Source organism: Homo sapiens, chromosome 12 (genome assembly GCF_000001405.40).
Source record: "Homo sapiens chromosome 12, GRCh38.p14 Primary Assembly".
Classification (NCBI taxonomy): Eukaryota; Metazoa; Chordata; class Mammalia; order Primates; family Hominidae; genus Homo; species Homo sapiens.
The window spans coordinates 27525136-27537217 of NC_000012.12; the positions used below are offsets into that span (position 1 = coordinate 27525136).

Consider the following 12082-nt stretch of genomic DNA (forward strand, 5'->3'; position numbering starts at 1 on the left):
GCGGTGGAAGGCGTGGCATATAAACTCTTAATTATAGGGACGTGAAGTTTTCAACATGTGGGACCAAAACAAATCCTTGCTTTCAGTAAGAACTGCGGAGAGCAATAGAAAAAGAACTTGATTTCAAAGTCCAAGTTTGGTATTTTGAGAAAGCAATTGCGGGAGGAAAAAGATACTTTTAAGAAGTGAAAGAATAGAATTCTGATTTTTGTTTATTTCCTATTTCAAACCCTGTCTTTTTCCTATGTGGAGATTTTGTGTGCCCAGGTCACTAACTGGGTGTGATTGACTTTCTCGAGGGGGCGGGGAAATTGACTCCATACACCGATTCAGGACCCTCTCATCAGTGCTTTAAGGCTCTCTTTTGGAGCAGGAAGGAAAAAAAAAAAAAAAAAAAAAAAGTAAGCGCTGAGACTCCTGAGTCAAGTTTCCCCTTTCCTTCACCGAAGTTCCTCCTCAGCAGTGAGGATCCTACTGTTGCCAGGTCTGGAGGAAATGGGAGTGGACTTCATTGTGAGTCAAAATCCGTATCCCAGGCCCCTGAAGGGAAAAGGCATTTCCAGGAGATGGAGAAAGAAAGAAGCCACAACAGTAGGTCTAGTAAACCCAAGTCAGGAAAAGGGATAGAGGACTATAGATGGGGTTCTCTATCTTTCTAGCCAAATGATCATTAGGTTTCAGAACTAGAAAGAAGTGTTTGGTTGTGCTGTTGTTTATGACATACCTGGGTCTGTATTGTTGTTAGTTCCTGAAAAAATTAAATAGAGTGGATAAAATAGCAGGCTTTTTGAGAAAGGAAAATTCGCTTTATTGGAAAGACAACATTTTAATTTTGGTTTGTATTTTGGCTTAAGACACAGAAATTGCAAATGGCTCTGCAATAATGGTGAACAAGTCTTTTCTATTTATGTTCTATGGGGAGTACATAAAACATACTGTATTTTCCAGTGTACTTTTTCAGTAGGATAGAGCTGTGGAGTGGAGTTCCTGTGGGCTAATGTGAACTCACGGTAGTGTTCCTTGGCTGATAGTGTTCCAACTGCATTTGTAATACCAAAAGATGGGGCTGCAAAAGCCAGACGGTTCAGTAAAGAAGAGTATCTTTAGGATGTTATCCTTATGTGCCAAATTCAGATTTACACTTTCTTTCCAAGAAACTAGTCCTAGTTTAGGGACTTGAATATACCAAAACTCTAAATTTGATTCACAGTTTGAATAATAGCAGTAATTTTACATACTTAATTTAAACCAATATTTCTCTTTCTCAGTCCATGTTTATGAGGCAGATATGGTGTAGGAAAACACGGAATACTTAAAAGATGTTTGAGTTATTGAGAAAGGTAGGATCAGTTTTTGGTTAAATTCCTGTGACCAACAACTGTCATATTTCCAAGAGCAACTTTAAAAATTAAGGTCGGCCAGGCTTGGTGGCTCACACCTGTAATCCAAGCACTTTAGGAGGCTGAGGCACGCAGATCACCTGAGGTCAGGAGTTGGAGACCAGCCTGGCTAACATGGTGAAACCCCATTTCTACTAAAAATACAAAAAAATTGCCGGGTGTGGTGGTGGGCACCTGTAATCTCAGCTACTTGGGAGGCTGAGGCAGGAGAATCGCTTGAACCCAGGAGGCGGAGGTTGCAGTGAGCTGAGATCTCGTTATTGCACTCCAGCCTGGGCGACTAGAGCAAAACTCCATCTCAAAAATAAATAAATAAAATAAAAATTAAGGTCATCTGGCCTTAATGGATAAATGTTGATTTGAAATCCAGGACACACTGAAGTTCCAGATCAATAGTGCCTAATTTCAAGGGCATCACTGACATTTTTTTGGGAACAAGTTCACCGAGGGACAGTTAATTAACTGTTTATGTAGTCTTTTTGTAGCTCCCTGTTCCACCGTGAGATAAATCAGAACAAGGTCATTTTTCCCCTCAGTTACTGACTAGCTGACTTCTTTTAAAACCTTTCCTATTCATAAAATATTTGTATAAGTAAATTTAGATTATGTTGATAATTTGTTACATTAAAATTAACTTTTCGTTTATATCCCAAACCAGCATAATTTTCAAACTGTTAACTGAAAGAAGACCTCATTCAGCACTCTGTCTTTTCTTTTTTCTTTTTTTTTTTGAGACAGGGTCTCGCTCTGCCGCCCTGGATGGAGTGCAGTGGTGCAGTCTCGGCTCACTGTAGCCTCTGCCTCCCAGGTTCAAATGATCCTCCCACCTCAGCCTTCCCTGGGACTACAGTCATGCACCAACATGCCCGGTTAATTTTTGTATTTTTAGTAGAGGCGGGTTCTCACCATGTTGCTCAGGCTGGTCTTGAACTCCTGGGCTCAAGCAGTCGACCCACCTTGACCTCCCAAAGTGCTAGGATTACATGAGTGAGCCCTGGGTGCCCAGCCTGTCTTTTCAAAGATGTTATTACGTGTCTCTGGCCTAGTTTGAATTACCTTTTCAAAACGATGAAGGAGTGAATTAATGAATGCATATTCATTCATGTTTGGGTCTGTGTCTTGATTCTTTATTAAAGAAACGTCGCTTCAAGGCGAAAACATAGGCAAGAAATGTTGCGTAATGACGTTTTTATTTTCAGAGATTTCCTTAGAAAGTCATATTAGCTCCAAAATTAAGAAAAAAAAAAATCACAGTTGAGCAGCCAGTTGTGAAATCTTTCAGGGAGCCATAATCATAACTATCATGATTATTTTGTTATTTTTAACCGTGGCCAAACAGATGGATTTAAATATGCGAGTCAAAGCTGTTAGGGTTACTGTCTCATTTTGATGCAGGGTATTCTTTGCTTTTTTGTTTGTTTGTTTGTTTTTGAGACAGAGTCGCTCTCTGTTGCCCGGGCTGGAGTGCAGTGGCGTGATCTTGCCTCGCTGCAACCTCCACTTCCCGGGTTCAAATGATTCTCATGCCTCAGGGTCCCAGTTAGCTAGGATTACAGGTGTATACCACAACGCCTGGCTAATTTTTGTATTTTTAGTAGAGACGGGGTTTCACCATGTTAGCCAGGCTGGTCTCGAACTCCTGACCTCAGGTGATCTGTCTGCCTCAGCCTCCCAAAGTGCTGGGATTATAGGAGTGAGCCACCACGCCTGGTTATGCAGGGTATTCTTTGTGAATAAAGGGAACAAAATGTCTTCTGGCCAGCATTTTCTGTTCAACCAAAGGTGGATAACTTCACAATTAAATCAGTTATCAAACTGTCCAAAAACTGCTCTGGGCTCTTGTAATTCAGTGCATCAGTAGTGTGTTATGTCAGTTATTTTTCAAATTTATTGCAGTGCACGTCAGAACCTTCTTCCTAGTAAAAAACAAAACAAAACCCTACAGCTTTTGTCATATATGTCACTGCCGCAAAAATTGATGCTGCGTTAAATGGAGCTCATAAATTTAAAACTAAACTGAATTATTCCACCCTACAAAATACATAGAATCTTTCTTTTACACCCTTCATTTTAGATATAATAATTACTGATGCTCAATTGGTGTTCAGTGATAATGTTTCCAGAAGCCAAGTGGTGAGCATTTTTTTTCCACTTCAAAAAAAAACCTAACATACCAGACAACTGGATTTTAGATAAAAGAAATATGGGTTCTTCTAGGAGTTTTAAGTTTACGCACTTTTTAGGCAGTTTGGGGGAGGAGGAGAGAGAACCTGAGGTAAATACGTACCAGTCTAAACCCACTGGAGAGTGTCTATTTCTGAAAGGTGGGTTTGGACTCTGAGTGGTCCAAGTGGATGTGTTGTCACAGTTTGTGAGTGCTCTTTGGTTATGCTTCTCCCTGGAACTTGATGGGACTCACATTTTGACTGGCCCACACACACATCCTTGTTTTTGTTGGCAAGTGTAATGAGTTCAGAATAGAAAGATCATGTAGTGGTTTTATGTACAGGGGTGCACCTAACAATGTCCATGCCTGAAGGAATTGTATAAACTCAAATTGCACTGAGTATCCGTCATTCTGGCCAAGGGTCATGTCTTAAATATGGATCATGTAGGAGGAAGATCAAGTACCACCATCACGTTTGGGGCTGGCCCTAGATTTTATGGACACCCTCTGGACTCCACAATAGGCCTGGATATTTTCACCTCTCCTTTAATTTAGGGAAATTATTCATTTGACATGAAAAGACAAGTTCAGAAGAGTAGGTATGCTCATTCTTAGTGTGTCTTTGTTAAGAGGTGAAACTCCATTTCACCTGGTGAAAGAGGTACTAAGGCTTTTTTCAGTGGCAAGTCTATTCCTAAAGAAGTGGCCAGGCTGGACGCGATGGCTCATGCCTGTAATCCCAGCACTTTGGGAGGCTGAGGTGGATGGATCACTTGGGGTCAGGAGTTCGAGACCAGCCTGGCCAACATGGCAAAACCCCGTCTCTACTAAAAATACAAAAATTGGCCGAATGTGGTGGCGCATGCCTGTAGTCCCAGCTACTCAGGAGGCTGAGGCAGGAGAATTGCTTGAAGCCGGGAGGCGGAGGTTACAGTGAGCTGAGATCACGCCACTGCACTCCAGCCTGGGCAACAGAGCAAGACTCTGTCTAAAATAATAATAATAGTAAGTTGCCAAATTTTAATTTTTCCTTTTAGCAATAATAGCTGAACTCTTAAGAAGTGGCCAGATTCTTCAGGCCAGCAAGGTAGTTTTGGGGAAGAACTAGGTAGGCCCATTGGGAAGAGTGTGGACTCTTTTATGGTATGCAGTAATACTGTACCATATCACTAAATGTACCTGTGTTTTCTTGTATTTCCGTGCCTAGGATCAAGCTCACTGATGTCCTTTTGCTGGCACTTTGTTATCCTTCTCTTCATCCATAGTACTCTACACAAATATTATCTTACTACCACAGAATTGCAAAAGTTTTTCATGAGGAAAGTTTATTGTATTTACTTTATTTAGAAAAAATGAAAACAAGGTTGAAACTCTGTGGTCTACTTTTTTCATCTAGTGACTTGACAGGGCGGCTGCTATTGCATAAAGAATGCCTTTGCAACCGTTATCTTTTTCTAAAGATGCTGCCTCTTATAACAACACAGTATAGAATTTTCTTTTGTTTGCATTGGAATTTGAATACATCTACTTTTTCTTGTGAATGATGGAAGAGTCGAATGAACCTGTGGGTTCTCGAAATTAACTCTGGGAAGTGAGAGGGTGGAAGGGAAACAGTGACGACTCACAGGAGACACACTGGTTGAACCTGTGATCTTGCCAGGGCCATTTGTGTGAAGTCACCTGAATCTCGGTGTTTTTCCTCTGGATCAGCTGCCTGGATGGTTTTGTCAAACTTTCAGATCCTTCCATCCTCCACCCCCATCAATGTGTGACTTTGCATAACTGAGAAAGCTACTAAACACAGAATTAAGTTTCTTTTATTGTTTTTCTCTACTAAGGGAATTTGATTCTCTAGGATGACTTGCACTTCATGTGGGAAAGACACAGCTGGATGCCCAACTGATATCCATTCCCCCCTCCTTTTCTGTAACTGAACCCATTTTGTTTAATTCACCACTATGTCCAGTTAAGTGCTAGATTTCCCAGAATCCCTTGCAGCTGGGAGGTGGTTCAGTGACAGTAGTCCTGGCTGATGAGATGTAAATAGCTGGATGCCCCGTTCCCCAAAGCTCTTAAAAGGGGAAGCCTCTGTGAGCTTGCCTGTTAAGCCTTTTGCTCTTTGTACTTCTTCCCTGGAGAAAGTAAGCAGGCCATCGCGTGACCAAAGACAAGATGCTTGAGGGTTAAGGATGAGTGGGTGGAAGGTTAGAAGGAGGCTGAGAAGCTGATAGCATTCTGCAACTGCTCTACTGGACCCATTTCTTGACTCTGTGAGAAAAATAAAATCTCTACTTGGTTAAACCACAGAACTTGGGTCAGTTACTTGCAGCCAAATGTGATCTTAACTGAGTCTAGATGTCTAAAAATCATAGTTCATCTTTTCTTTAAAAATAAAAACGTGTTATTTTGTACGAGAAAAACAGGACTTTGGAGCCATGCAGATCCTCAACTTGAATCCTGGCTTTGCTATTTATTACAGTCTAATATTGGCAAGTAACTTAACCTCTCTGGGTCTCAGCTTTCTCATCTATAAAATGGTAGCTCTGATATATGTGCCATAGCATTTTTTGAAGGATTAGAAATAATTAGAAATTATTATTATTTTTTTTTGAGACAGTCTCGTGCTGTCACCCAGGCTGGAGTGCAGTGTTGCAATCTCGGCTCACTGCAACCTCCACCTCCTGGGTTCAAGCGATTCTCCAGCCTCAGCCTCCCAGGGAGCTGGGATTGCAGGTCCCCACCAGCATGAGCAGCTAATTTTTTTTTTTTTTTGTATTTTTAGTAGAGACAGGGTTTCACCATCGTGGCCAGGCTGGTCTCAAACTCCTGATCTCAGATGATCTGCTGGCCTCAGCCTCCCAAAGTGCTGGGATTACAGGCATGAGCCACCACGTCCGGCCAGAAATTATTAATAGGAATAATAATGGCATATTCAGCACATGGAAGATCTTCAACAAATGGTGGCACTGTTACCAAAGGGAAGTGTAGTGGGGAGTCTGAAAGGGGGAGGCAAAGAATTCAGCTCTTTCTCCTAGAAGGTTCTCGGTAGGTTTATAGCTACAATCCCTTGACTCCATCTACTTGGCATTTATTCCGCCTCCTGTCTCTTATCCTCATTCCCACCTGCCCACACCAGACTACTTGGAACTCTTCTGTTTTCCAGCTTTGGTTTATAAGGATGTCCTTATAAAAATTTTATTAACTATAGCATAGGGATGAAGGGCGGGGACTCCAGAGTCAGACAGATGTGGATTAGAATCCCCTGTTGTTACTAGCTGTGTGATTTTGGTTAAGTCTTCTGTGAAATGGGAATAATTGGGTGGTTATGAAGATTACATCTGATAATGTATGTGAAGCACTAACAGCTGGTTTCTTGGCACACGACATGCACTGCTTTGATGACAGATATTGTTGTTACTATTTCATTAAGCACGTGTTAAGCAATTCCCAGCCTTGGTACAAGATCCTCTTGGAGACGGAAAGACAAACAAAACATGATCTTTACCTTAAGAGTATTCACATACAGGAGATGGGGGCAGAAAGAGATGGCACACCTTATTCATAACTGTAATAAAATGCAGATTTAGAATACTGTTTAGCTGTTAAAAAGATTGAATATACTGACTTGTACAGATGTCTATTATATATATTTTAAGAAGTAAAAAACCAAGCACACGTGTATGGTTTACATTTGTCAGTGCATGAAAAACTGCCAAGTGGGATGGCTTATGGGAGTTGGGATGAAGGGAACTTTGTATTTTTTTTTTTTTTTACAGTATATTACATCTATATTACATTACTCGAGAAATACAAAATATGTTAAAATTTTAAACATCTATTTATTGGTCCTTTTGGAGGTTGGTTGGGGAAGAGCATTCTGTGAACTAGACTAGTCACCAGAGCAAAGGAAGAGACTGGGTTTCTTGAGGTTTCATTAGAAGAGGTGGGATTTGACTGGGTCTTAAAGGGTGGGGAGGAGATTTTGAGGAGGCAGTGGGGACAGATGAGCATACTTGGGTTTGGAGCAAAATGTAGAATAGAGTGAGATTCGATTTAGAGAAAAGAGAGAACAATATTGTTTGAAAAGACGTAAGCTATATTGGGGCAAATCTTACAGGGTTTTAAAGAGAGTGACAAGATTGTACCTTAAAACAGGATGTTTTTAAGAAAAGAAGAAGTAAGGGAACTATTGTTTTATAAAAATGACTCTGGAAATAGCAGATTGGGTATTTCTAGTGGGTATATGGGCAAGGGGAGGGAGAAGGACAGAACACCCTAAATCAAGAATGGCCCGTATACAAAAGTTAATTTTCTTTTAAAGATGATGTCTTGCTATGTTGCCCAGGCTGGAGAGCAGTGGCTATTCACAGTTGTGATCATTGTGCACTCATGGGCTCAAGCAATCCTTCTGACTCAGCCTCCCGAGTAGCTGGAACTACAGGGACATGCCTCCATGCCTGGCTAAGTGAAAGTTGAATTTTAATGGGAAATATGAGTTAAGATTTGAACATCTGGAGTTTGAAATTCCATCATGACCCACATTATCCTTAATTTTCTCATTGTATAAATGGATAAAATAATAATACCTATCTTATCAGGTTTTTAGGAGAATAACAATAATAATAGGTAACACTTACCTGGTAGGTTATACTTTTTATGTACCAAGCACTACTCTAAGCACCTTAAATATTTCAACCTAGATTAATCCCATATTACGATGAGGAATCTGAGGCACAAGGAGGCTAAGTAACTTTCCCAGGATCACACAGATCATGTGTGTCAGACTCAGAATTTGAACTCAGGCAGGTGCAGCTCCAGGGCCAGTATCTTCAGCCTCTTCATAGTCCTACCTCTGGCATGGTTCTGTACTTGGGGTGTTAAAAGCCAGTATGAACTGTTAGTTGACATTATTCATATGAAGATGTTAAGCAAGAATTTAGAAATTTAGGCTTGGAGTTTAGGCCAAAGCCTGGACTAATGGATCATCTCTATAGGGCTGTTATGTAAAGAGTGAGAATGGTTGAGCTCCCCGAACAAGAGTATGTAGAGTAAAAAGAGAAGCAAGCATACAGTCTTCAGGGGACTCCTGATATTTAGAAATGGTCAGGCAAAAAAGAAGTTAGGAGAGGAGATAGAGCAGGATCTGCAGAGAAGTGGAGGATGATGGTGGCCAAGGGAAGAAGCACAACGTAAGTGAACTAATCATGCCATCCAGTGCAACAGACTCGTTACAAAGCTGTATCCAACAGACTGTCCCTGGTCCTGCTGTCAGGTCAGTTCATGAACCTGGAATCCAGAATGCAAAAAATTGAGGACTACACGGGGGCTGATGAACTGCAGGTGGCCTGGTTAGTTCATCCTTTCAAGGAACTGATCCGAGAGAGACATGGTAGATAGCTTGGGTTTGAGGAAGGCTCAGGTAGAGAGGAGGATATTAAAAGAAGAAAAAGGGAGGAAGGAATGAGTGCATGGTCCAGGGTAGAGAGATGGGGCTAGACCCAAAATCAAGTGGAGGGCAGTGGGTTAGCCTCGAAATCCATAAGAACCCTTCTTCTGATGCGATGGAAGAGAGGATAGGGGAAATGGAAAAAAAAAAGATGTGATCAGAAGGGATACGAATTGAGTAAGTTCACTGCAGGCGGTCTGCATTGATTTATCAGTAGAGTAAGAAGCAGTGAAAGGAAATTCACAGACAAGTAACTCAGGCTCCTGAGAGGATGGCTCTGGGGATTATTGTCATGGAGGAAAAATTTGAAAGAATGACAGAAGTCTCTCATCTGAACAATACAAACTGACACATTTGCCAGAATGTGTCTCGAGGCAGGAAGTTGGTTTATTGAAGTGGAAAGTAGTGGTTATAAAAAAAAAAAAGAGAATGAAATTAGACAAAGGGAAACTTGACTGTCTTTGAAGGAGGAATTTTTAGACAACCAGACTTGATGGTTCACAGGCCAACTTCTTGGGGGAAACCTGAGCTCTGAGTGGTGAGAGACAACTGGTTTTGGAGCCCACAGCTAGGGTTTGGTTAAAACAGATACATCAAAGCACCAGGAAATACTCTGTAGAAAGGAGTTGTCCAACAGAGACAGCACTGGATTAAATTCTCCTCCTGATAAGGTGGTCTCTGATCTTCAGTTTACTTATTTCTAGAAAGATCTTTAGTTGAAAAGACATAGGCTTGTGGCATTTCAGCAGATTTGTTGTGGTAATGACATTAGGGGTATGTGAGAAAAGGATTGAAGAATGCAATGATTAAGAATGTGGTACTGAAAACCACTACCCCATCAGTCCATTGGTGGGTCTTATGGTGGTTGCTTTGAAAGATGTCAGTAAAGGCTTGTTCAAGTGTGTACAGTATAAATTGATAGGCATAATATTCTTGAGTTCAATGGTTTTCAGCTGGGCCAACTATAGAATCCGTGGAGCCTGTTGCAAAATGAAAATGTGTGACCCCTTATTCAAAAGGCAAGAAAAAAGTGCTGTTAAAGGTACTAAAATATGAAGCTTCTTTCCTTTCTCATACAGTTTTTTTCTCTTGACTTGTCATAGTATTGGCTACTTGTCATTCTATGTGAAGAAAAATTAAAAATTAAAATTACAGCATGAATTCAATTTAAAAATTAAAAAACTAAGCAGTGAAGTTTTTAGCATGAATTTACTCTTCATCTTTTTATTATACAATGTTGTTTTTGTTGTTGTTGTTGTTTGTTTTGTTTTGTTTTGTTTTTTGAGACAGGATCTCACTCTGTCACCCAAGCTACAGCGAGGTGGTGTGGTCACGGCTCATTGCAGCTTCTACTTTCTGGGCTCAGGTGATCCTCCCCCTCAGCTTCCCAAGTAGCTGGAACTACAGATGCGTGCCTGGCAATTTTTTTTTGTAGAGACAGGATCTCACCATGTTGCTCAGGCTGGTCTTGAAATCCTGGACTCGAGCAATCCTCTTGCCTTGGCTTCCCAAGATGCTGGTATTGCAGGCGTGAGCCACTGCGCCCAGTGCAATGCTGGCTTTAAATGAAAATATAGAGCATTGAACTCATATGCAGAATTACTGAAGTTGTCGACGCATATGTATATTGTTATGAGAACAGTAGAAACACTGCACAAAACTAAACTACTTTTATTTCACTTCTTGACATGTGCACATTCTACTGACACCTACCTACCTTTGGCTTATGATGTGTAATGAAAGACTGAAAGGAGAAGCAACTATGAGTTGCCTTATCTTTCCTTTTCCTTTTGTGCCGTCATTTTCAGCATAAGTGGTTGGCTAATATGGTTAAGTAACATGAGAAAGAGATAAAACGCTAAGCCTCCTTGGTCATTTGTGTTTCTTAGAAAGACATTTCTGTATGCAATCAAGTTCTGGTTCAAATGGAAGTCATTGCCTCTTTGGGCAGTCAGCACCCACCTGCCTGCTTACTCAGTTGTATTGGTAACACACTTACCTTGCACTCGCTTGAAGTCTTGCTGAACTCCCACGCACCAGGAGTTCACGGGAATTCTGAGCTCATGGTGCATTGGGAAAACTGTGTGAATAGAGAGGCCAGGAATGGTGGCTGTACATATTACGTCGTATGTTAGGCTGTTTTGCATTGCTATATAGGAAAACTAGGACTGGATAATTTATGAAGAAAAAAGGTTTATTTGGCTCACGGTTCTGCAGGCTGTACGTGAAGCATAGTGCCAGCATCTGCTTCTGGCGAGGCCCCCAGGAAGCTTCCGATCATGGCAGAAGGCAAGGGGAACCAGCTTGTCACACGGTGAGATAGGGAGCAAGAGAGACAGAAGGGAGAGGCCCCAGACTCTTAAACAACCAGATCTCCCATGAACGAATTGAGCAAGATTCACCAAGGGGAATGGCGCTAAACCATTCATGAGGGATCCGCCCCCACGATCCAGTCACCTCCCACCAGGCCCCACCCCCAACAGTGGGAATCTCATTTCAACATGCGATTTGGAGGGGCCAAACATCCAAATCATATCACATCGTTCTCCTCTGCTCACTTGTGGGCTCCATTGTCCCATTGGACCTGACTTACAAAACGCAAATTCAAAATTATTATCATTCTCAAGATGGTGACAGTAGAGTATTAAACCAACTGTGGGTCTTTTCTGAGCATGGGGTCCTGTGTTACTGCCCAGGTCACAGGTCCATGAAGATGTCTCAGAAGTCAAAGAGCTCACTTTTGAGGCTAAGTTTCCCTTGGTCCTAACGTCTCAGCTTCATTATTAAAGTTTGCAATGTAACAGGTTTGTGGGTGGTAGCCTAGGGGACTCTCTTCTGGTCATCAGCAAGGTCATTTTTGCCTTTCAATAATTTTTTAATCACTCTTCATTCCCCCTACCAGTATATCTGGGTTCGCATCCTCCTTCTCTCTGATACAGACCTTGCCGTTGTCTCCTACTGGAGCCCTGCAGGTAGTCCCTTCTCTCTCTCTTTTTTTTTTGAGACGGAGTCTCTCACGGTCACCTAGGCTGGAGTGCAATGGTGTGATCTCAGCTCACTACAACCTCT

The 12082-nt window shown here is 41.5% G+C and overlaps 1 protein-coding gene across 48 annotated transcripts in view, besides 1 other annotated feature; it reads left to right on the forward strand.

Annotated features, from left to right (window-relative positions):
• Positions 1–12082, forward strand: part of PPFIBP1 (PPFIB scaffold protein 1) — a 171359-nt gene that overhangs the window by 930 nt on the left and 158347 nt on the right. The window lies entirely within an intron of this gene.
• Positions 9448–9497: an enhancer, noted in NCBI's record as "active region_6146". NCBI's record gives its function as "activates an Ori minimal core promoter by ATAC-STARR-seq in GM12878 lymphoblastoid cells {active_cell/tissue: GM12878}" and the evidence as "EXISTENCE:reporter gene assay evidence [ECO:0000049][PMID:35858748]".